At 41.6% G+C, this 26,550-nt stretch overlaps 1 protein-coding gene across 1 annotated transcript in view, besides 1 other annotated feature; it reads left to right on the forward strand.

Annotated features, from left to right (window-relative positions):
* MRPS6 (mitochondrial ribosomal protein S6) overlaps window positions 1–26,550 on the forward strand; it is a 69,453-nt gene that overhangs the window by 33,825 nt on the left and 9,078 nt on the right. The window contains exon 2 of the mRNA NM_032476.4: window positions 17,939–18,078. Within this exon, the coding sequence (NP_115865.1) occupies window positions 17,939–18,078 (140 nt within the window). The remainder of the gene's footprint in view (window positions 1–17,938; window positions 18,079–26,550) is intronic.
* Window positions 22,244–22,788: an enhancer, noted in NCBI's record as "H3K27ac hESC enhancer chr21:35501946-35502490 (GRCh37/hg19 assembly coordinates)". NCBI's record gives its function as "activates a minimal SCP1, AML or CMV promoter by ChIP-STARR-seq in primed H9 embryonic stem cells {active_cell/tissue: H9 hESC(primed)}" and the evidence as "EXISTENCE:reporter gene assay evidence [ECO:0000049][PMID:30033119]".

Here is a 26,550-nt window from a genome sequence, read left to right on the forward strand (position 1 = left end):
CCATTATCGATGATACTAACTTTGATCTTGGTTAAGGTGGTGTCCACCAGGTTTCTCCAGTGTTAGTTACTATTTTTTCCCTTTGGTAATATGTAATTAGTGGGGGGATATTAAAAACCATGTAAATAACCTATTTCTCATCAAACTTGAACCCCTAGTTTTAGCATTCATTTATCTATGAATCTTGCCTGAGTTGTTACTGTAATGGCTATTTTCTAGCCTTTTTTTGATGGGGAGGATACTGTACTCAAGAGCTTCCCCTTTTCCTGTTCATTTGTCAGTATGAACTCCTGGATTACTTTGTTCAGTGAGTTATTATTCATTACTGTCATTATTTTGCTTAGATGTTTCCAGATTTAGCTGGTTTCTTTTATCAATGGTTTCTTTGTCCTTTGTGACGTTTCCATCAATTCTTGAGTGCTTTGCATTTTCCAGCACAGTAAGATGTTCTGGATGCACTGTGTCATTTCCCTGCCTCAGTCTGGGGATTGGGCATTTAGTAGAGTGGCTTGGAGTACTCACTGCTGTAGGGGTATCATGACTTCTGGGCCCTTTCAGTGTACAGAACTAGGAAATACACATACAGTCACATGTCTTATAATGGTGTTTCAGTGAACAATGGACGACGTATATGATGGTGGTCCTATAAAATAATGGAGCTGAAAAGTTTCTGTAGCCTAGTGATCTTGTAACGTACCGTAACACGTTACTCCTGTTGATGGTGGTGCTGGTGTAAACAAACTCTGCTGCCAGGGATATAAAAGTGGACAGTAATGTCTTAAGCTTTTACATTCACTAACCACTCACCCAAAGCAACTTCAGTCTTGCCAGCTCCATTCATGGTAAGTGCCCTTTATGGGTATACCGTTTTTTATCTTTTATACCATATTTTGACTGGACCTTTTCTATGTTTAGATGCTCAAGTACTTGTCGTTGTGCGGTTACTTACAGTATTCCCTGCAGTAACTGCGTGGGTTTGTAGTCTAGGAACAGTAGGCTACACCACATAGCCTAGGTGTGTAGTAGGGTACGCCTTCTAGGTGTGCAGAAGTACACTTTATGATTGTACAAAGCAAAACTGCCTAACGACGCATTTCTCAGAACATGTTCCTGTTGCTAACTGTGCACATCTACAGATGCCTCCAGTTCTAAACCAACACCAGTGGTTTCTTTTTAGCCTTCCCTCGGTGTTTGTATTTCTCTTCTCCAGCAGTGAGAAATCTGATAATACTGATGCAACTCATTTTGTTGAATCCTGTAACACCTTAGAATTAATTTTTGCATGGATAGAGTCTTTATTCTACCTCGTATTTGTTTGCAACTTTGGCTGAATGTAGAATTCTGGGTTAGAAAGCACTTTCCTTCAGAAATTTGAAATCATAAGACCATAGGAATTTTCTAGCCTCTAGCCTCTGTGCTCTAAAATTTCAGTTAGGTACCTTGACAAAAGTTTTTCTTGGACAGTACTGGCCCTTGGTGGGTTCTTTCAGTATGGCAGCTCCGTGCTGGGACTGTGATTCTCCCTGCTCTCTCCTGCTTAGAGCCCCTTTTGTTTAGCTCTTGGACCTCCTGGACTGGTACACTTGGTTTCATGCCTTTGCTCTTAATTTTCATCTCTTTGCTCTTTCTAGGGCAGTTTCTAAACTTTATCTTCCAACCCTTCTGTTGAAAAAGAATAAAATTTCTGTTGAGTTTTTCAATTTTAAGAGCTCTTTTGTTCCTGAAATCTTTTTTTATAGTCTCTTATTCTTGTCTTATATCTTGTATCTTCTCATCTCTGAAGGTACTGTCGTCTTCCACTCCCGCTTTATTTACTTCAAGATAGTTTTTTTTCTGTGTTAATCTTCCATGTTAAAGGCTTTTCTCCGATATATGCTGATCTGCTTATTTTTAATAGGGTGGAGCACGCTGGCATCACGATTGGGCCTGCAACGGCCTGGCTGTTTGTTGGGTTAAGTCCTGCGATATCTTTAGAATAAGTCAAGCTTTCCAAAGAAAGTTTTGAGTTTTAAACTGAAGGATAAAAGGCCTTTTGCCATGACTGTGAGAGCCAAGTGGGGAAAGAACACAGGGGCCCCATCATTCACAGCCTGCATTTTTTCCTTAATCTCTTTGGTACAGTACTACCATTTAGAGCTGTGCCTGTGCCCTCCAATGCAGAGCCCTCTTTTTTATCTGCCGCAGAGTATAAACCTTCAAATATGCATCTCAGGATCCAACTAGTCCTTAAACTTTTGACCAATTGTATTTATTTTAGTGTCACTTCACCCCCACTTCCCAGAGGTGCCCAGTGTTGGTATGGTTGATTCTTAGTTTTTCCCATTGTTGATTTTCTGCTTCTACTTCCTTTCTTCCAGAATGTTATTGCTAATGTTTCTTCTCGTATTCTTGTAAGGTTGTACCTGAAAAAAAAAAATCCTGCACAATATGTGCATCAAAACATCACATTGTTTACCTTGAATATATATCATTTTTATTTGACAATCATACCTCCATAAAGCTGAAAAAAATCTCTTTACAGTAGTTCTAGTAGGTTTTCAGGTGGGAGCATAATTAGGTGCTTGTGTTGAATCCTCTGGCTTGCCTGGAAATTCTGGTACTCACCCTTTAACCTTTTGAAGGTTGAAATTTCAGAGCCTATTGCCCATTTCTGCCCTTCCCTGAGATAACATGTTGCCTACCAGAAGCACAGTTGGAGTTTTAAAGTTCTGCTTATTTCTAAGTGCTAAGCGATGAAAATTGTTCACATTTCAAAGGGGCCTTAAAAGCTGCGTAGTTGGCTGGGCACAGTGGCTCATGCCTGTAATTCCAGCACTTTTGGGAGGCTGAGGCTGGTGGATCACTTGAGCCCAGGAGTTCGAGACCAGCTTGGGCAACATAACGAAACCCCATATCTACAAAATACACAAAAGTTAGCCACATGTGCAGATGCACACCTGTAGTCCCAGCTACTCAAGAGGCCAGCTACTCAAGAGGCCGAGGCAGAAGGATTGCTTGAGCCTGGGAGGTCGAGGCTACAGTGAGCTACTATTGTGCCACTGTACTCCAGCCTAGGCGGCAACAGAGTGAGATCCTGTCTCATTAAAAAGAAAAAAAAAAGGCTGTATAGGTGATTCTTTTATACAATGTGTATTGAATACCACTCATCAAAGCTATTTTATTGTGAGTTTTAACATATTCCATAAAATGACACATGTATGGTGTAGTAAACAGTTATTTGTGGTAGTTATGTTTTGTAAATTTACCTCAAACACTGCATGAGTGAATTCTGAATCGTTGCCCCTTGCGTTAGATTCCTTCCAGTGTATGGTCATGTCATTTTTGTCAATACGTGTTTGTCAATCAATACATGACCTTGCCTCATGTGTGTTTCTGTTTAAAGACAACATAGTTACTAATTGTTGATAACATTGCTAACAGTGATAACATTGTGCTCAAGACCGATAGCGCTAGAACTCATGCCTGCATTGTGCTAGATAAGCTTCAATTTTCTTCCTAAGGCACATCACATCCTTACGCTTAGGAACACTAGACAGCCCTTCAGCACTGCACTTGGGAGCCATTTTAAACAACGAAATGACCCCCAGAAAGCACACATGCAAAAAAACATGGTACTAAATAGACAGCCAAAGGACCCTTGTTTATGATATGTGAGCTGAAACAAGGGCGAAACATTGCCTTTGTCTGCCTCAGCTGGGAATGTGTGCAATAGGGGACTGCAGTTTTCCACCATGCTGTGCATGTGTGCATATCTACAGATGACTGCAGTATTGTTGGGGGTATTGATTTGGGGGCTACAAATAAATTTTAGCAAGTAGGCAAATTGGCATATATGGATTCCATGATTAATGAGAATCACTTGGAATTGTGAAGCAAATACCTATGTAACCACCACCCATAAGAAATAGAACATTACCAGCACCACCACCCGCTTCCTGCCAAGGAGGCTCATTCCACTTTCAGAAAGTTCTAAACTTTAAAGGATTTTCTGATTGACCTTAAATCTGTCTCTGGCTTTTACTCCCAAGTTCTACCTCTGAAGTGTTATCCCCTCCCCCACTTCTATTTGAAGAGAAATGTTGAAGATAAATGTATTCTGAAGTCTCAAAATCAGACATCATGTTCTTCACTCTCTGGGTGTATAGCACAGGGCATAGATTTCAGACCCTTCACCATCTTGCTCTTCTGTTTTTTCCTCTGGATAACTTTGAGGCAGTTGAGGTTCCTTTTCATATGTGGCCTCCATGTTTCAGTAATTGAGGAGAGACACTGCTAATAATGCAACAAAATGAGAGCCACCATTCCCTAGGGCTTGCCCCCTTCCAAGTCTAATTTGGGATCTCACTGGCATACCCTAAGGTAGGCCCCCTGTAAAGTCCTGTTGTCTCTTCATAGGAGTTTCTGACTCTCTTTCCAGCTTTCCATGGCTTTTCAGAGTTGAGGTTTTTTTTTTTTTTTGTTGCTGTATTGTTCCCCATATGCTTCAGGAGTTGAACATCCATTTGGTTTTGTATTTTAATCCCAAGAATTTTTAGAAGTTTGGATGCACTGTTAAGTGTTTCTGCCTGTGCCTTAGATGTTGTTTCTGTCTTTTGTCTTATTTCTAGTTCTTTTACTCTGCATCTCTCCTTTTGACTAGTGGGATGTGCATTAACTTCATTATGCATCTCTGTCTTTCAAAAAATACTCTGTTTTCCTCTTTGCAGTGAAGATCTTTTAAATTTTATGACTCAGTATAATCTTTTCTTCCTTTCTAGTTATATTAAGTACAGTTAGCAACTTTTATTTCTCAATTCTCCATTTATTCTTTGACTAGTCATCAAACATTTATTGAACGTGTATTGTAAGCCAAGTTCTTTGGACCTCCAGCATCTAATAACCATGAGTAAGAAGCAATTTGAAGAGGTTTAAGAATAGGGACAGACTCCTATATAATTACACTTGCAAGATGTATGTGGAATGCGAGCGATACCTATGGGGTTACAGAAGAAAGACACGTTTATAGAAAGTAGCTGGATCTTTTCAAAAAAACAGTTTGAGATAAATTTCATGTATCTTACAATTCACCCATTTGAAGTGTACAATCCAGTGGTTTTTAAAGTTGTGCAACCATCACCACAGTCAGTTTTAGAACATTCATAATCATTAGTTGTCACTCCCCAATTCTCCCTCCCCACACCTATTCTCTCCCCACTATCCCCTGGCTCAGACAATTACTTACCTACTTTCTGTCTGTATTTGTCTATTCTGGACACTTTAAAAAATATTCCTCTGTCTATGATTATATATCATTTGACTGGCAGCTCCCAATCCCCCCTCCCCATAACCACCTAAGCCTCTGGTAACCACCATTCTACTCTCTATGAGATCAACTTTTTAAAATGTCATGAGTGAGATTATACAGTATTTGTCTTTCTTTGCCTGTCTTATTTCATTTAACATAATTCAGAGAAACACAAAACCACTGAGGGTTTTGTGGGTGCGGTGGCTCATTCCTATAATCCAGCACTTTGGGAGGCTGAGGTGGGTGGATCGCTTGACGTCAGGAGTTTGAGACCAGGCTGGCCAACATGGTGAAACCCTGTCTCTATCAAAAACAAACAAATGAACAACAACAACAACAAAAAACCACATTGAGATATCACCTCATGTCTGTCAGGATGGCTATTATGAAAAAGACAAAATACAAATGTTGACGAGGATATGGAGAAAAGGAACTGTTGCACACCGTTGGTGGGAATAAATTAGTACAGCCATTGTGGCAAACAGTATGGAGATTTCTCAAAATATTAAAAATAGGATGACCATATGATCCAGCAGTCTTACTACTGGATAAATGGAATAAAATCAGCATCGAAGAGGTGTCTGTATTCCTGTGTTCGTTGCAACACTATTCACAATAGCTGAGATGTGGATCAACCTAAGTGTCCATCAGTGGATGAATGGATAAAGTATGGCATACATACACAATAGAATACTCTTCAGCCATAAAAAAGGAAATCCTGTGCAACAACATGGATGAGCCTAGAGGACATTATGTGAAGTGAAATAAGCCAGACACAGAAAGACAACATATGATTTCCCTCATATGTGGCATCTGAAAAAGTAGCTGAATCTTGATGCATGTTTTTATTCCTATAATTCCTTTGTGTTTGTGTCCTTTCTCTTCCCTGCTCTACAGAATAGAGCAGTCCATCAGGTGCCTTCCTCCCACCACTTGAATTTAAGCATCACTGCAGTTGGCCTAGTTGATGGACATGCTTTTTGTCTGTTGTTGAGCAAATTATGCAAATCTGACTTTTTTGTCAAAGTCCATGTTTGTCATTCTAGGAATGTATGATTTTAAGAACTTCTCTTAACCCAGTCCACCAGGTGATATTTTTGCTAAACCTTACATGGATATGTAGAAGATTCATTTTCTTATAAACCTTTTGTCTCTACCATCTAAATCTTTGGTTGACTGTTCCCTCCCCTGGTTTTCTTGTCACTCCAGTGCTGTCTCCCTTCTACCCTGTGAAGAGGTTGAAATATAAGGCGAAGGCAGGGAACTGAATTGTGCATGAAGGCATGCAATCAATAAGGCAGGTGGCTCAGTAATGCCTACCTGATTCCTGCTCCCACTATCCATTTCACAAGCTTAGGCATTTCCTTTACTTGCTGTCATAGTAACCAGGACTCCTGCCAGTCTTCCCGTTTATCTTTTATCTGTGAGTGCATCTGAAGGGGGATGGGGAGTATAGAAATGGAAACCTCTCAGCAAGAGGATCATGGACTTTAAAATGTCCTTAGAATAGCAAGTAGGGTACCTTCATTTTGGCATTGTTTCTAGCTGATGCAGTAGTATTTACCACAAATAGTCACCCACTGGGGTTGTCATTTTTCCATTTCACATTCAGACAAGACTCCAATATTATTGGTGAGAAAGAGTGAAACTTTTATGTTCCTTAAATTAGTGTTGGAGAAGATCATTGCTTAAAATCTTTTACAAACTGCAATTCAGCCAGAGTCATTCATCTTTGGGAGGATGAGAAGCCAGCTAGCTTCCTACTAGAGTGCGGTTCTCACATTTGTTTGCACCTGGGGAGCTTTAAAAAAATCTTAGTGTCCAGGATTTTTGAATCCTTAAGCCAATTGAATTGAAATATCTGAGGGTAAGATGCAGACACCTTTATTTTTAAAGCTCCCAGGTGATTCAAGTGCTGAGAAATACCTTGGTGATTTCTGCCCTTTTCCTTTGACTTACCCAAATCATGAAAGGAATGATTGATTATATGCAAGTGAGCCCCCAAATTTGTCCTTAAATGAATGACATCTGAATGATATTCTTTGATTTGAAACCTCAGAAATTAGTTGATTAAGGAACAAAGGTACATTATTATTGAACTAGAGATTAATGTTAACCAAGGCACATGACTAACTAATATATAGCTGACAACTAGTAAGTTCACACAAGGTTGGATCTCCTATAATTATGTCTTCCCTTCTGCTCAGTGGGTTCATTTTTTAAATTTATTCGCTCATAGCCTTTTGATTCCAATGCTGGTATTGATGGCTTAGCAGGCACTTGGTGCAGGGGCCCCTTGGATGGGTAAGTGTAGTTTATGACTTAAAGGCATTTTGCCTACCTTGCAGCTCAAGTTGCTTTACTCCTCAGTCATCTGCTTTTTACGTTTGCAAATTCAGCCATGCATTATCTCACTGAGAAGATAACAATGCCTCTGCCTTGTTCTTGGGTCCTTCGTTTTGGCCCAGGATTAATGTGTGCTGAACTCAGATCAGTTACTGGACCAGTCATTGGCTTCTTGCTCCTGTTTTCTTTTTAACCTCCATTCTTCTCTGAGTTCTTTTTGTTTTCATCACATTGCCCAAAGAGTACTTCTTAATGTTGGATTTCCCAGGTCTCAAGAGTCTTATTCCTGGCTGCATGGCCATAGAATGGGCAGGCTCCTGTTTCCACATCCCTTGGCTTCATTGACCACTGTGGTGTCAGGGCCAGACTTGGTCTTGTCCTATCACGTCTTTTTGGTGCACTCTGATTCTGGGACCAGTACTTCTGGATTCCAGTTTTTCCTCTCATTCCCCAAGAGACAGAGTAACCAGTTGTAATAATTAATGATGCTGGAAGTACCAGCTTGCAAGACTCTTTCAGTAACCTCTGGAAGCCACCTGTTTATACCTCTCTGATTATTACTATATTGTTAAAAGCCTGGATGGACACGGAGTCAGTGAATGAGTTTTCAGTGTCCAAGTGTAGATCTGGGACTTGAAGACAGAATTTACAAATTATGGTATCTGTGGCAAGATAGCGGTTGGGATAGACTTGGGAGAAGAAATTCTTTAAAGGAAAAATTGAATTTGTTGCAAAAGAAGTTTGTCACTGAAACACGTTTTAATTGCTCATCGTAAATCAGAGTGTAAAAGAAAAAAAAATGGAATACTCCACTTGTTTTGCTACCTAGGGAAGACTAATACCTTGCATAGTCATCCGTTCTTTTTTCCATGTTTGTCTACATAGTCCTTTTTTTTTTTTTGGAAGATACATGGATGTACTCTCCATGCTGATTTTATTTTATTATTAAAATGTTTTTATGCCAGTATGTAAGGATCATACCCCATCCCAACCCCGACAGGGTTTCACTCTGTTACCCAGGATGGAGTGTGGTGCCACAGTCATGGCTCACTGCAGCCTCATCTTCCCTAGCCTCAAGCAATCCTCCTATCTTAGCTTCCTGAGTAGCTGGGTCTACAGGTGTGTCCCACCATGCCCAGCTAATTTTGTGTGTGTGTGTGTGTGTGTGTGTGTGTGTGTGTGTGTATGTGTGTTTTGTAGAGATGGGATTTAACCATGTTGCTCAGGCTGGTCTCGAACTCCTGGGCTCAAGCGATCTGCCTGCTTCAGCCTCTCAATCATCCATGTTTTTTTTTTTTTTTTTAATTTCTATAGGTGTTTTTGGGAACAGGTGGTGTTTGGTTACATTAATAAGTTCTTTAGTGGTGATTTCTGAAATCTTGGTGGATTTTTAAATGGTTGTATCGTACTTATTCAATCAGTGGAAATCGTTTATTGAACCAGTCTCCATTGGGCAATAAGATTTCCATTCATTCACTATCCTAATAACTTTATGATGAGCATTTTTCATAGCTAAGTCTGGTACATGGGTATGGTAGTTTGCTTAAATTCCTAGAATGCTGGGTGTGTCCTGCAGACCCTGGCTACGGATGAAATGAGTACTCAGACACAGGTATGCAGTGTAAGAGCAGCTAGTTGACTGCCTGGCTCTAGTGGCCAGAGCAGCCCCAAGAAGCTGGAGCTGCTTGGTTTTATTCAGTGCCGGCACAATGCTGAAAACATGGAGCAAACACAACCTGTAGGTAATTAACATTTATTGCCCCCCTTTCAGAGAACCTCATGCGAGAGGATGATCAAAGATCAGTTCCTGGTCAGCATAAGTAAACAAGCCTCTTTAAGATAAATTCCCCTACACTCCCTTGTACCTACTCCTTGGCCTCTGCCTCAGGGTTATAGAACAGCTGCCTTCAGCTCTTCTCCCCTGGGGCTCTGCAGAACCTTCCGACCTTTCAGAAGGTTTAGGTCCTTTCCCTGTAGTTTTTCCCACCACTCTGACTGATTCCCCACACTAGAAGTAGCTGTGGAGTTAAAGGTGTACACATTTTAAATTAATATACATTGCCAAATTGTCTTCCAGAAAGTTTACATTTTTACCAATAGTGTAGGTGAGTGTTTGAAGAAACTGAAATCTTAATGTTCTAGGCAAAATAGTGCCATAGGTGGAAGAAAACAAAGGCTTCTACCTATACTAAATTCAGTACCCATGTTGATTCTACCCCAAATATAAATTTCATAAGAATTTTCTCCCTTCCTTTCGTCTGCTGTTAGTTCAGACCCACTCTGAGAGCACCCAAAGTGGCCCTCTTTCCCTCCTGACGGGGTATTCATTTTTCAGGGTCTGGCTGAAATCTGCTTTCTTCAACCAACCAGTTAGTAGTAGTAATTCCTTCTTTTGAGTTCTTGTGGCATCATTGCTTTTCACATCAGTATTGCCTGTGTTTGAATCTGCCTTTATTAGTAACTTACAAGTGTCTGTCTTCCTATCTGTATCGCAGACTTTTTAGGGACAGGGACTTGGTGTTCCATTTCCCTGCGGCTACCCTTTTGGAGATGGGCTTCCTAGCGAGCAGCTTGGACATACTTGTCTTGAGGAAGACACTTTGAGAAGAATGTTTCCAGATAAATGTTAAGTTGAACCAAAATGGCAATTTCCTAAGTTTCAGCTTACATTTCTGATACCCGCAGAATTTGGTCTGCCCATAAGAGATCATTCACTTTGCCCTTTCACTCCACATGCAGGTGTCAGGATGTATGTATCTCCTGTGTATGTATGTATCTCCTTAAATGACTTGTGCCATTTAAGTTATTTTAAAATGGCTTCCCCATAAAGATGCGTGATGTTTTCCCGCATGTAACTGTTTCTCAGAAAGATGATTATATAAATACCATATTCACGAGTGCTTTTTAGTTAATATATTAACTTAAGCAATTCTTAAGATTCTACACTATAGCCTGACAATTAAATGACCACTTGAAAAGCCTGACCTGTGAATCTGCAGTATTTTTTTCAACATTATTTTAAAAATTTTAAAATTTGGGGTATTTTTGTTTTTGCAGAGCACACAGCATTGGTTTATTCAAAGAGTTTTTCTCTGCATTACACTATTATTTTCTTACTACACTTTATGTACAGTTAGACCCTTGAACAGTGTAGGGGTATGCATAATTGAAAATCTGTGTGTAAACTTTGGACTCCCCAGAAACTTTACCAATAGCCTACTGTTGACCTGGAAGCCTTACCAATGTTATTTTGTATGTTATGTGTATTATATACTGTATTACAATAAAGTAAGCTAGAGAAAAAGCAAGTTTTTTTTTCCAAAATGTTGTGACTCTTCAAAAATTTTTCCAATATATTTATTGAATAAAATTCGCTTGTAAGTGGACCTACACAGTTTCAACCTGTATTGCTCCAGGGTCACTGTATTTTGGTTCCTGTCTCTTCTTTCCCCTCCCATTTACCTACTGTTTTAAAGCCTGTTAAGTCTTTATTCATTAGTTACTCCACATTTCTTTCTTTCTTTCTTTTTTTTTTTTTTTTTGAGACAGAGTCTCAGCTCACTACAACCTCCTTCTGGCTCAAGTAATTTTTGAGCCTCAGCCACCCGAGTAGTTGGGACTACAGGCATACACCACCACGCCTGGCTAATTTTTATATTTTCAGTAGAGATGGGGTTTCGCCATGTTGGCCAGGCTGGTCTCAAACTCCTGGCCTCAAGTGATCTGCCCGCCTTGGCATCCCAAAGTGCTGGGATTACAGGAAAGAACCACTGTGCCCAGCCTACTCCATGTTTCTTAAAAATGGCCTATATAATATGATTCATAAGCAAAGGAGTACAGCATTTAAATTTTAATAAGTGTTTTCTATCTTTGACCTTTACAAAGCCTATAAAGGTTACTTTTCTAGTCACTTCAAGTTATAACTTCAGGTTCAGGCCTGTAGAGGTAAGTAATCACATTTGAACATGTACTTAGGCATCTTTATGTTTCTTAGTGTTCTAGACTTGTCCTTATTGAATTTTATTCTAATTTAAAAAGTAGTTTCTGTGTTCGATAATTTTTATTCCTTAATTACCTAGAGGACTGAAACTCCTGATTCAATAAATTGTTGGGCAAAAGAGGTTCTCTACAATGAAGAATATTTGATCAAACAGTTCCTGTGGAATCAATTTCATAGTTGGGCTTTGCTTATGTCATTAGGCAAGGCTGGCACTTCACATATTTTTATGTAGATGGTTCTCCCAAGGTCTGCTAGAACTTCAGCCACTTTCCATGACACCCATTTGACTGTTGAAAAGTTAGGGCTCACAGATTTTCAGATTGCTGTGAGAATGTCAATGCAGAATTCACAGGGACAGCCTTTCTATTTGAAAATTTAAATTGCAAGGAAATTTTTTAAAGGAAGTAAGATTTGGAATTAAGATTCAGCAAAGAATGGGAAAGACTTTTACATGTACATTTTCACAGGTTTTGACAGTTCTGTGTCTTGGCTCTACCTTCCCTGAGTCCTGCCTGCTCTTGAGTGTTGTATAACTCTTTGTAACGTGAGGCGGGCAGGGTGTAGGTAGATGCTGCATGCTGTTGAATGTTGTGGATTCTATGTGTGCTTTATTTTCTGGGGAACTAGGGTGTGGTAGTGCTAGCTGGGTATATTGGAGGCCACTGGCTTAAAACTGTCTTTCCCATAGAGTCTAATTTCTAAGATAATTTTGTTGACAAGTTTCTCTTCTGGGATGAAAATATGTTTAATTAGGTTAAACGTTGGTCATTGACTAGTGGTGGTGGTTATGATACTTCCATGAATTCTTAGCTTCAGTAACCTTCCTGAGTGGGGATTTTATTTGGGGGACAAGGAGAGATTCCTTTCTTCCTTTCATTCTTCCCACCTTTTTGCTCTCATCTTTTACTACAGCAACTTTTCCCATTAGCATCTCTAGAACTGTGGTTTTCAAAATATGGTTTGAGGACTCTTGGGCTTTACGGGGGACCCTTTTAGAAGATCATTGTGAAAACAGTAGTGAGTAGAACAGCTGGTACGTTAGCATGAATCTAGTCAGCAGCATTAACTTTTCCTAGCAGTACGTGTATTCTTCATTGCTATGCAGTTGCAGTTTTCAAAACTGGCTTCACTGCAGAATGTCCTTCAGAATGATGAGTGGTACCAGAGTAGTATTTAGTCTTGGTAGGGGCTTTAAGAAGTTGTTGAGTTCAACCTCCCACCCATGCAGATATTAATCCAACAGCCATCCTGTATCTATTTATGTACTTCAAGTGATGGGAAGGTCACTACTTCACAAGGCAGCCCACTGCATTTTCATACAGCTGTATATTTTTGGAAATATGTTCTTGTTTACAAAATACAGCTTGATTTCTCTAATTTTTACCCTTTGATTCTAGTCCACTCTTGGAATCCAATCAAAATAAAACAAATCTACCTTTTGCATAATAGCCCTGCAAATATTTGAAGTTAGCTCTTGGGTTTTCCCTAAGTCTTTTGTAGGCTAAACATTAGTTTTGGTAATTAATATAAAAAATTAGCTTTAATTTCTTCTAGGATTAATTACCTTTTTTATAAGTATTATACTATTTCGTTAAATTTTTGGATAGTACTTTATCTTACCTAATCAGCAAATAATTATAATGTAATTTTAACATTTATATTTATATGTGTATTGGAATTTGATATTTGAAATGTATAAAATATTTAATTAATTTCACTTCTAGATGAATTGTAGGTATTTTTGAAATACAGTATTGGTGTGAACAGCATTTTGGTACTGCGTGAAGTAAATGGGAAAACATTAGTATTGTAATTTTGCCTCAGTGTTACAGTTACCACCTTGATAGTGAGCTTTGTTGTATATGAAAAGTGGCTTCAAGTTATGTTAGAGATAGAAGGAAACTTAGAGTTCCTTGAGGAAAGATAGGAGTAAGTAAGCAAGAGACCCTCTTAAAGGAGGTACAATTAGCACAGCTATTTCTAGCACCTGTTCGATGAGTGTGGCCCATTTTAGACGTTGGGAATACAGTCATGTACAAGATAGACAAAGGTCCTTGCTCCTCTGTAGCTTACATTCTGGTTAGTGAAAGAATATTTTTAGATTGCTGTAGTGCTGTTAGAAGTAAAAAAAGAATGACATCAGGAGAACTGGGGGATGGAGGTGCATTTTGGTGATGAAGATATCAGAATTGGGGGGCATAAAAAGACTTTCATCAAACTTTGTTGTGCCTCCAGCAGATGTTGAGAATTGCAGTATGAATGTTGTTTATTCATGTGAAGCTTGTAGCAACAGGAAAATCGAGAACTACTAATTTAGCAGATGAGGAAACTGAGGTACAAGTTTAAAATTGATAAATTTTAATAACATATTCAGGTTTGTATAACTCATTAGTGAATGAGCTAGGACTAGAATCATAGTCCTAGTTTTTCTAGTTTCCATTCCCATTCATTCATTCCTTTCTTTCTGTATTTTTTTTTCAAATGAATGTTTTCAGCCCTCAGTCTGTGCCTTGCCAAAGTGTGTTTCATTGATGCATTTGGTAGGTAGAAGGAAAGAGTTGAAGGAGTTGCTTTCAGATGGGGTGAGAGAAGCCTCTCAGAAGCCTGCACAACTTCTCTTAGAATAGTTGGAATTGAGTGGTTCAGAGACTTTATAAATGAGAATTATGGCAGCAAGATCATTTGTTTCCTGTAAACTATATGCTTTTGTAAGTTGAACATTGTGCTGGATTGAGCAGAACTTTTTCCCCTCTAAGCGTAAGAATTTTATTTTAATAGATCTATAGGTTTCACCAAATGAGGAACATTGAAGTTGGCAACCTGGGTTGATAAAGACATTATTAGGAGCTTGGCAGATGGAATAGTGGATTAGTGGAATCAGTTCTGAGCCCTGCAGTGAGTTGAACAGCTCAACTGATGGTATTCGTTAGATGGTACCCGATGTGTCTACCTGATGACACATCCAGTGAGGAATACACCCTCTATACGTCAGTCAGTGGCCCAGGCTCATGGTTTTATTTGTGGTGCATTTTAGGGTACATGGATTAAGGACCTGCCAGCTTCCCTCAGCCCATCACAATATAGAACCAGGGGTTGGCCAGATAGTAAATAGTTTAGGCTCTGGGGCCATGTGGTCTCTTGTAATTACAGATCTACCTTTAGCACAGAAGTAGCCATAGACACTATGCAGATGTGTGAGTTGGCTGTGTTCCAGTTCAACTTTATTTGCAAATACAGGTAGCAAGCCAGATTTGGCCCAAGAGCCCTGGTTTGCCAACCCTGCTTTATGGTGAGGTAAGGTCTATGGGGCGTTATTTTTGCTCCTCCTTCCACCTTTCGTTTTATACTTCTGGGTGTTTTGAAATTAAAGTGAGATGAATGTGGCCATTCCAGTAGTCTACAGTTTGACCTTGACATACTGAAGTCAAACAATTTTTTTTTTTATATTTTCCTAAGTTACATTCTTGTTAGGTAGCCTTTCCCCTTTTTGAGACAGATGTAAGAAGAAAATGTTTTTTACTTTATAAGCTCTTACTTCAGAAGAGGGTAATGAGTTTTATACTGTAAACACTTCAGTTGGAACTTAAAAGATATTGAGATATATTCCTTTTTAATCAGGCAAAACTGGAATTGAAATTTATTTGGGTAGCTAATCAGAAAACTAATCAATCAAATGTTTTTTTCCTTTTTTTTTTTGAGTGCAAAGCTGAGACCCGACTCTTTATTTGGATGGGCTGTTCCTTTACCTTATCATACGTTAATTGATGTAATGCCAGGTCAAGAAACAGCATTTTCAGTTAAATGAAATACTGTGCTGCTGTTAATAATGAGTCCTCTGCAGATGTATGGCGATGTCTTTGTGAACTATAATGAAATGTGAGAAGAATGTAGTCTTCATATGATTAGAACTGTCTAGGAATGTGTTTGATACAATCATAAGGATAAATTGCCTTAGACTTTTTACCTACTGTTAATGGGAAGAGATTTTGGCCTGAATTTTTATTGTCTTCAGGAAATTTCTGTTTTATCTTAAGGTTGGTTAAATATATAAACAACGATTCAGTAGGAATTTTTAAAATCCCTAATGGACTTCAATATGAAAAGAAAGTAAAGAATGTTTTTTTCTAAGCCTTAAGCCAATACTTAGCACATTTCATACCATTTTAGCAGCACTTGTCAGAAAGAAAATTTTAAAAATATAGTGGATTTTGTTTGGTTGCCAGAATGCACACTTAAACTTGTTCTGCAATTTTCTCTTCATTTGATCCCCAAATGAACCTCTGGAAGGTAGCCTATTCTTAAGTTTCCTCCTGCACTTTAAAATCACCCTGCTTGCACCTCTTCACGTAGGTCTTTGAGGAGATGTGCACCTTGTCTTTGCCAAGGTGTGCCTCTGGCTTCCTCCCCGATGGTTTCCACAGCTTTCCTTCTCCTTGCAGCAGGCGTTTCCACTTAATAGCTGCCCTGTCAGCATCTCTCTAGAGATCCCATCCCAAATCTGTAAACCTTCTTGGCTTTTTTTTTTTATGAAGATAAAATATGTAACAATAAGACACTAGACCATATAGTAGTTATCCAGTAAATCATAGCTGTCATCGTTGTTGCTATTTTAGAAATCCTACATTTTATCGTCTTGCATGGTCCGCTCCTTTTTGACTACCAACTTGCCCATGTGTTTTCTCCTAAAACACGTTGCTCAAGTTGCTTGTCCCTGGAGCCCTGGCATTTTCTCCTCCTCACCATTGTTCTCATACCTCTACCATGGGAACCTTGGCAGCCTGCTTTCTGGCCCCATCTTGCCAAATGCCCATGTAGCTACCACACCGCGGCTTTTTCTTGATCTCTGTCCTCTACCCCATTGTCATTCTGGACAAGGCAGTCTCCCGATTTTCCTTGTCCTATTTGATGATACGTTTTATATTTGCTTCTCTGACTTTGAGTCCTCTTGTTAGCCCCTAAATGTTTGTACTCCCCAAGGTTCTGCTGGTGATCTCCTTTCCTCTCCCCCTCCACCCTTTCTATTGATCTCACCTCCTTCTCAGGCTTCAGAGAGCCGTCTGTGCAGGTGACTATGAAATGTGTATTTCTCATCCACCTGCTTTGAGCTTAAGATTTACATCTGGAGAGGTCAACCTAGGGGAGCCATGGCATCTGAGACTCAGCGTGTCTTAAACCAGATTCATCTCTTACTGTCCTCACCAGCTTCTCCAGCTCTCCTTTTAGCTGTAGTGACAGTTGCACTCTCTCAGCCACCAGATTGTGGTGCCCTTCTTCGCCACATCTTGCCTTCATTCTCCACATTGCATTCGTTGCAGTTTTCAGGCTTATCCTTATAAAGTATCTTTTCTTCCAAAAATTGCTTGTGTATACATATGCATAGAGAGATATCTGGAAAGAAATTCACCAGAAAGTTTAATTCACCATCCAGTCTATCTCTGGGTAATGGGATTCTATATTGTTCAAGCTTTTTTTTTTTTTTTTTTAAATAACAGGCCTTGATTACTCATGGACTTGTGCCCAGTGTATACCCGTCTATCTCCTCAGCACTCCCTTGCCCTGAACCCCATCACTGGGGCTCAGTTGCTGGTTCATTCATTCTTTGTACCTCCGGTCATCATTTTCCGGGTGCCTTTCAAGTAAACTTTCCTTAGTGAAACCCTTCTTCCAGCTGAATGTTTCTTCCTTTCGTGAGCCCTCTGGTCTCTATGCTATTTCCTGTATTCTGCCCTCTGCTCTCCATACATGTGTATTTTGTGTTCTGTCCTTTATTAGATTGTAAGCTCCATGAGGGCAGAGTTTGGGTCTGATTACCCATCCTTTCCCCCTTTTGGTTACAGTCTCCCAGTTTTTCTTTGGGAGACAACACCTTTTCCCCCTGGCTACAGTTTTGGTGGGATGGGCAGTTCAGGTGTCCTGCCAACGAGATACTCTTCTCCTGGAATTTGAATTTTGAGTCATGGGATACAAGGACTGACAGTGATTGGCACTGATTCAGCCTGGCCGAGGTGCTCTGAAGAAGCCACTCATTAGTTCCTGCCTCCCAGATCCCTGGAGCTGCCCTGGTCCCTGAACTCTCCGAAGCCTGGTTCTTCAGATATTCCTCGTATCTGTGAGCTATCTCATATCCTTACAATAAATTCTCTCTCTCTTTTATTTTAAGTTAACCAAAACCAGCTTCTGTTGCTTTTACCCAGCGATTCCTACCAGTAGAGCTGTTATGATTGGAACTGAGCAGACTTAATCATTCTAGCTCTTATATTAATTCTGATGCTTTTTTTTCTTTTCTTTAAAAACACAAACAAAAACAGCCAGAGACTGCTGCTACTTTGAAACGTACGATAGAGGCCCTGATGGACAGAGGAGCAATAGTGAGGGACTTGGAAAACCTGGGTGAACGAGCGCTTCCTTATAGGATCTCTGCCCACAGTCAGCAGCACAACAGAGGCGGGTAAGTTTCTTCATGAAGTCTTGAAAGACGTTTTTGATAGGCTCAGTAAAGAGTACTGTTCAATTACTATTAGAAGTTCTTAAAATTTCACATTGAGACCCCTGTTGCGCCTAGGTGTCCTTTGGGTACACACTCTGGCAGTCTTGTGTTGCAGATGGGATGTGATATGCTGGCCCTTCGTGGACTATGATCTGAGTTCAAAACTAGGCCATCCTAGGAGCAAAGGGCTTACCAAGTCTAGCTTGTGGAACCTTTTCCTGTCAACCTTAGCACTGTTTTCCCTGACATTTCTTTAACTTTTGCCTTTAAAATACCTTAGTGAACAGTGCTGTCCACAAACATAGTGTATCAGTTTTAAACATATGCGTTGCAAATAACAGAACATGCTGCTTTTGACTGATGTATGTAACCTAAGCCTAATCAACAAAAGAAAAATGGTAATACCTACTCCAAGTAATGATCACAGTTTGGAATTTTGTCTCCTACTGTGTACAGCAGCTTCCTCAAATACATGTCACAGATTTGATTCTGTAGTAATAACTATCTTTGTAGAAGTTCTTGGAGAACAATTTGTAGAATAGATTTGAATCTTCTCATGTTGTAGGATTTCCTAGGAGTGGGTGTTAGAGAAGATGGGAATCAGGTTTTAGCGCGGTAGGAAAAGTCCAAGAGTAGAAGAGTCAGCTCTCTCTGGCACTCAGCAACTCTGTGGCCTCCCCTTCTGTTTCTGGCTTCTTTGGGCACAGAACTCAGGTTATGGGTCTCCCATCTGCATTGCCACAAGGACCCAGCAAGACAGTCTCTGCAGATGTGCTCTGCGACGAGAATGCTGCTTGTAGTTATGTGAGTCGAGCTGTCTTGTGCAGGTACAGTACGTGTGATAGGGCCTGAGTGGAGTCGCGTCTCACATCGAGGCTTTCTTACTGCATTTAAACCTTCTGCCGTGCTGCAAATTTCATCTTTTGATTGCTTCACCTTGTTTTGTGCTAGTGTTCAGCTTCTTGAGAACACCTCTGAAGAGAATGCCTGAGGCGTTGCTAGGCAACAGGAAATGCACAGTGGCTAGGCTTCTTCCACAGTCATAATAACAATGAGGGATGGAGAGCATGTGTGTCTGTCTGTCTGTTTCTTTTAAACTTAATCACAAATGGGTGTGGTTTTAACAGCGCAGTTATGGATCCTTTTGCCTTTTTTGTTGAAAGAGGAGCATATAAAAACTGTCCGAGAGTCATTAGCGCAGTTCTTGGATGGAAGGCAGTGAAGAAGTCAGTTTCTCCACTCATGTAGTACTTCCAGGGGTTTCTGCCCTTTTTTCAAGTAGAGGATTTGACTTTGTTGAGAGTTGGCATGACCAGCATCCTAGGATCTGCACTAACACGTAGCCTGAGTAATGCTGACGTCACTTGTCTGAGGACCAGGCTCAAGAACTGCTGTGTTCACTCAGTTCATTTTCAGACCTCTGTGTGCAGTGGTGGGGGTTGGGGGTGGGTAGCCGTTTCTCTTTATGGGTGGAATAAATTCAGGTCCTGGAGGAGCCCACTGGGACCAAGCCAGAACTGCTGAGAACACTAGCCCTACTTCTGGGTTCCCCCCTGGCAAAGGTGCATGTGCCTCGCTGAGGAATATGTTGCAGTCACTTAGTTCATTGACTTTTAAAGATTTTATTGCTGGTTCTTTTACTTTCAGACTCCTCAACAAACAGAAGCAGTGTTCTGTATTACATATGTGTATTATATATAGACACAGAAAGGTAGTGCCCAGCTGCAGTGGGGGAGGTTCATGCTTTAAGCCTATTTTCTGGGATAAATCAGTGTCTGGTATTTATTTGTTAAAGGTAATGTTTTTTAAAGTGTGGTCTCTGAAACGCTAATTCCGTAGAGATGCTCCATCAAAAAAGGAGAAGTAGGGTGTGTGTGATCAATTAGATGTGGGAAGCCTTACATGATCGAATTCCTTCTAGAGGTTCACAGTGCACATTGGCACATAAATGATGAGAAGCCCTTCAGTAAGATCCGTTCATTAATTCACTGTATTTGATTATGCTACATTTTATTTCTATAATACTCGTGAACATTCTCCACAGTGACTTTTGGGAAATGAGGATGTGAGAGGCAAGTGTAGTTTGAAGTTACCCGAATAAAGATTTGGAATTGGGCGATAACGTTTATGTGTCTGCAGTGTGGAGCTTAAGGTTAGTCTGATATTCTCTTGGCTTCAGGCAGTGGCCCCATAATCACTAACCCTAACCATGGCAGTACCAGGTATTTTGTTCATTTGGCAAATTCTTTATGTGCATTAATCCATAGCCACAGAAAGTGTTAGAAACATGTAATAAGTGGATTATGTACTGGGAGACTTGCTTTTCTGAAGTGGTTGAGAAGAAACAGTGGTTTTATTGGTTACACGTTTAGCATTCAAAGTTTTGGCTCTTTTTGAACAGCCCTAGAGGCTATGACACGTATCCGAAATTACGGCAAGGCGCTGATTTGAAACCTGACAGTGGTGTGCGAGAGCCAGCTTTTGGCTGGCTAATGGAGTGAGCCTAGATGTTTCTGAGAGTCCACATTCTATCATGGTACTGTTGGTATCGTGTGTTTGTTGCTTTTACGTTTTGTGGGGAGAAATGGTATGTCCTAGTGGTGTCCACAGGTCTCAGGTTGATTCTCACAATTGTCGTGGTTCCTGGTCTCAAGGAGTTTTCAGTCTAATCAGAGAGTTGGCTGCATAATGCTAACCTAGGCACCGGCTGAGGGAGTGTGTGTGAAAGTGCCCAGCACAGCAGGAGTAAAGCTAAGCCTGGGGCTGACGGGTAGGTATCTCTGTTCCAATGACTTCACTGTGTATTGGGCAATTGCCTCTACTGTTCTCCCATGCCCAGCCCCCTCCGCCCCCCAAATCAACCGCCTTATCACGTACATGCCCAGTAGGCTGGAAGAAAAGAGTAGGTAAGGGAGAGCCTGTTGCTTTAGGGTTATCTGGGAAATCTGCCCAGAGGAGGAGGAGAGTATACTTTGGAAATGATACCTGATGTTTATTATTATATCAAGACTGTTTCCAGTTTATGCCAAAAATAAAAATATAGTCATTATATTTCAAATATTAGTTTGGTCAGACTCCACTTTAGAAACAGGTTGTGTTCCAGAAATTTGCCTGTAAGTCTGTTGTTTATAACTGAGAACTTATTTTCCCAGTGGAACAACTTGATGGTTAAGTTCCCAGACTAGTCCACAGAGATTTTCTTAATTCATAATCTCTGAAGGTCAGTAGAACTGGGGGAGTCATGCGTGTTCAGCTGAGGACCATTTTAAACCTGTTTTTGAAAATGCAATTCAGTGTTCCCCTTGGCAGCAGAATGGGGCCTGGATTGGGCCACCCTTATCAGGGATTGGGACAATATCTCAGCCCTCTAACTTGTTAACACTAAATAAATCATTGGTGCATGACCTGGAGCTGGGTGGCTCAGAGGCCTGGGAGTCACTCCCAGCTCTGGATTTGCTGGGGTCTCTTTCAGGTCCCCGAGATTACCTCCCCTTTGTGTCTGCACGTGCTCACCCTGACACCCTCATCTGCTCTGCGGGACAGACAAGGTGTTGGTGTGGAAAATTCTTACTGTATTCCTGGGCGTTTGGAAGGGGAAGATGTCATTTATGTTAGAGGGAGCAATGACAGGAGAGGCTCATTTAGACCCGTGCTATAAAGGGGCAGGCATCTTACTGAATGATAGTAACAGTCACCCTTTGCCAGAACCACGTCACTCACTCCAGGGCTGCACGGAGCTTATGGTTCTCGGTTCTCTTTCCACTAGATGGGGCTGAGCTGAGACTGAGAGGAAACTATACAAAAAGTGCGGTCGTATTTCAGCGTTGGGCTTGTGCTGCTTTGTAAAAGGATGCCTCTGCTCTGTTTCTACCGGGTCTGATTTTATGGCAGTGAGATTGGGCTGGCTTCCAAATGCCTGTGTATAAGAACTCTTAAGTAGAAGGTGTTTTTCTTGCCTGTTTTGCCCGTTCTTTGCCTGTTCTCATCTGCTTTAAAATTTGGATAGGTGCTTATAGCAGAGATCTGCTGGCCTACATATAAGATGCCCTTCTATTTACGGGTAAGCAGAATGATAAAAATAACCAGCTCCATGGTGAATCAGTGGAATTTTACTGACTCGCTTCCCAAATGTGTCTGCAGCTTACTCCATGAGCACTGGCACCCTCTCTAGAGGAGATTGATTCTCCTCTGTAGTTTTCCCGTTAGCTAACATTTCCATGTTCTCGTGCCTTTCTGCCAGTGTTCTGACCCCGTTCTCGTGTGTAGGTACTCCACACCAGGTTTTCAGACAGGGCTGCTGTGGCCTTGGAGGTTTCTTTTTAGTGGCAGTGCCCCAAGATTTGTAAGGATTCTGCAGCAGGTTTAGTGTTAGTGGTTTTGAAAATGTATGAGACCCAACAGATATAAAAAGAAATGGGGCTTTTCCATGCAGAGGGTACCTCAGTTTGAAGGTGAATAATTCACTGCCTCGGTGAAGCCTGAATGCAACAAGGTTTAACTGAGACGGTCTAGGAACTGGCATTTAGACAGATCTGTTTCCTATCTTCAAAAAGGCTCAAGGATGCTTCAGGGCTGCAAAGCCCTCCCATCCCCCTCCCCCATCCCCCCACCCACTGTGAGCCACTGAGTGCTTCAGTGGAAATTTCCACTTGTCTGCTAGGGAGAAGGGGAGGGTGAGAGAGAGACAAAGAATGTAACTCAAATTCAAGCAAGCTCTTTTTATGGAAAACTTGTAAATACAGGGTTAAGACAAAAGTGAATAAAGAAAATACAACCTTTACATTTAAGGGCACTGTCAGAAAATACAGTTTTCCCCCTGGACAACTAGGGGAGTCGGGGAAGGGCTGGCAGCACCGGGCAGTCTGCATGGTGACTGAATGGTGGAGGGGCTAGGCCTCTCCAGGGGAGGGGCAGAAGGGACATGAGAGCTGCTGGCTCTCTTACAACCATGCTGCTGTGAATGGAGTGTTTTTGGTGGCATTGTTTTCCAGTATTGGGGCACAGTCTGTCTTGGGGAAGCCATTTCTCTGAGTGTTTTCAGATCTCTAGAGGGTTTGGGCCATGTAGTAGAGAGTTTTGTAGCATGTGAGTGTCTTAAGAAATATAAAGGAGGGCACATTATCACCTGGAAGATCACGTGGGCAAGTTCTACCTAGGAAGAAGTTCACTATTGCTCCAGCTTTCAAACACTGTTATCTGCAGTGAGAAATGCATTAGTGTCCTGAACCTTTCTTGGTTACTTCTTGCCTGGCATCAGTCATCTCCTCACTTCCACTTCTGCAGAGTTAGTGTGGGTCAAAGTTACGTGCTTTTCTATAGAAAAGAGAGATGCTTTTGTGAAGCTGATAGCAACTTCATAGAAGTGGTGATTCTATAATTAGCACCACACATGTAAAAACAAACCTTTAAAATGTAAACACTGCTCGGCTTTGTGTTCAAGGCAATGTTGGTGCTTGCATGGACCCTGGCTACCTGGTAGGCGGAACCATGTCACTTGTGCCATGTAGCACATGGTCGAAGGTGCTGGGAATGTGTAACGTAATTAGATTTTAGACTGTTTTCCCAAAATGAGCTGTGTACTTATTGATTCAATCACCAAGAGTAGAAGTGGAAAATGGAAAACTAGCTATTTGGAGAGCTTTTGTTAAGTAAGAATGTCAGCTTTGGGGCATGTCTAGTCAGTTGCAATGTAGTCAAATCCAGACGTTTGTGCCTTGAGTGAGGAGTTGATCGTGAGTCCACGTGCGTTAGGACTTCTGGTCTTGTGTTTTGATTCTGCCTAGTTTGGCTGGGGAAGAAGCAGACACTGATAGCTCATTGTGGTTGTGGAGTCCTCTTGATTCTCTCTTTTCCCAGGGTCAGGAGGAAGTTGGGGCAGAGGGCTCTAACTCCCCTGGAGACACTGAGCCCCTTTTCTGGTCACCTTCCCTTGAACAGCAGCTCCTCTGATTGTTAGAATGGTTTCTCCATGGCAACCTTCATGAGGATGCAGGGAGCGGGCATCAAGGGAGTTAGTTCCAAGGCCATTTTTTCAGCCTAACTCCCATTTTTGTAGGTCTCTTGTGGACCTGTGCTGTCATGAGAAAGGGATCCTCGCAGGCATCAAAAGCCACCCAGCCCCACCACCCCACACAGGTTGTTTCTAGGCCTGACTTTCTTCATGTGTAAAAATAGAAATGCGGGACTGTACTTGGTGTTGTCATAGCTGTAAAAAGTCTCATTCTCAGTCCTTAGGTCATCTGTAGTTAGCAAAGCCCAGCAGTGAGTCAGGGGTCCTTGCCTGTCATGGACAGTCTCCCACAGGACTGCGGTGGAAGCCTGGGTTTCTGCTCATGCAGCAGCTCGTACAGCCTCTCTGCCCAGCTGGGCTGCATATTCCAGGAGGATGAGACCATGTGTGCCTCATCCATTTAACCTCCTGAGGTTTGTCTGTAGTAGATGCTCATTAACAAGTTAAGTTTGCCCAGATGAATAGGTAAGAAGAAAAGGATATGTACTGGAAGCAACCAGGAATTGGTGAAGGTCATTCCTGTGTGGGAAAACCATAATGGACCATTTATCTGTGTACTTGGGTCACTGAAGCAGGCAGAGATTGACTTTATCCTGGACTTCTGGTCAGTTCTCTTGTGGCCTGGGAGAGACATCTTGGTTCCCTGGGAGAAGAGGTCGGGAGGGGGTTGGTAAGAGGTTCAACTTCGGAGAGTGGCGAATACAGTAAGGTCTGCCTGTCTCGGAGTCACTTCTCACCTTCGCTGTTTTGGTAGCGTTTTCTTTCTGTGGAAACTTCCACGGTGTAATAGGGAGCCATGGGAGTGGAAGCAGTCTTTGCCCACATCAGCCCCGGGCGCATAGCAGCAGGACGACAAGCATGAGATGCCAGTCACCAGCTGTGCATGCCGGCTTGTGCTCGTTTAGTTGGTTGCTGAAGGAGCGTTGTCATGCCTGGTGGCAGGAAGTCAGAGCAGTTAGGAGGGTGAAGGCAAGAGAGGGGTTTTGGTAGCAACAGGGAGCCTCCCGAAGCTAGGAAAGCCCAGTGTTAGGATTTCCAGGTCTTTAACTAGGTTTTCTCTTTATCCTTGAGAATCCTCCAACATGTGGGTACTAGGTAGCAAGAGATACAGTATACAGAGTGGGGAGCTGTGGGGTCTGGAGTCCGGAGCTTGACTCTCACTTTGTGACCTGGGGCCTATCAGTTCCCCTCTGGGCTTCAGTTTGCTCATGTGAAAGGTTTAGGCTGCGTTGTCTTTATGGTCCTTTCCAGCACTTCCAGTCTATGATTCTGTAACCCATTTGGTCCCAAAGCTATCTGTGGTTTCTTGTGTCCTGGAGTCAAAAGACCTGCTCTGTTTGAATCCTGGCAGTGACCACTTCATAGCTGAGTGACCTTGGGCTAATGACTTAACCTTTTTGAGTCTCTCTTCTTAACTACATTAAATTGTACGACTCAAAGGAGGCAACGTGTAGGAAACCACTTTGAAGACTCCTAGAGGAGTATTGTTGCTGGGGAGAGGGCTGCTGGACCCCAACCAACACTCGGCACCACTTTCTCTTCTTCCCTTTCCTCAATTGCCACACGGAGTGGAGCTGCCACTTCTCTTTCATCCTCTTCCTCAAAAGTTGTCTGAAAGCTGTGAAAGTACTTTGAAAATTAGAGTCTTATGAAAGACACTTCTTTTTTAAGTTCAGAAATATGAGGTTTCTGATATATCTGGCTTCCTGTTTCCATCCTTGGGTATTCTTTTTACCCTTATCACATCATAGAATCCAAAAGCTTTGGGTGTATTTCTTAGGATTATTGAGTGAGTGCTGAGTATATGGAGAACACTTTCAGGAGGGCTGGATGAGAATTGATTAGTGGGCAGTTGAGTTGGTTGTTGGCATCTGTAAACACACTTTCTCTTAGAACATGTTGAGACTCCTAGGCTAGCTCACAAGCTTCTAACCCTGTGAAGCAGTTGAATGGAAAATGGAAGAAAGCAGTGCTTGCTATGAACAATATCATAAGTAAGACCAAGACAGCCCCAGAGGTGCTATTTGAATAAGTTGAATACTTGACTGTAAGGAAGGGCAGGCTTGGACTTCCTGTGGACTCTCTGGAGGGAGGGGCATGGAGCACTCGGCAGTGGTGGTGTCTGGGTTACTTGATGGCCAGAGCATGTCATGCTCTTGCTAGAGCCTCCCTCCTGATGCATGGCATTTCAGCAGCACATTACTCTAAGCACAGGGCTTCAAATGGAATGAAGCAAGAGAGGAAGGCTTCTAGGGAAACTGGACAAGGCCAAGGAAGAGGCGGGAGCTCAGAGAAAAACTACCTGCTATAGACTTCAGTGTGTTGGGAATGTTGGCAGACAGGGTGAGGTCATAACTTGTCCGTGGTAGATTGGAAGGACATTTTGATGAATAGTGAGTGAAAGAGCAAATGGATAAATGGGA

Source organism: Homo sapiens, chromosome 21 (genome assembly GCF_000001405.40).
Source record: "Homo sapiens chromosome 21, GRCh38.p14 Primary Assembly".
Taxonomy (NCBI): domain Eukaryota; kingdom Metazoa; phylum Chordata; class Mammalia; order Primates; family Hominidae; genus Homo; species Homo sapiens.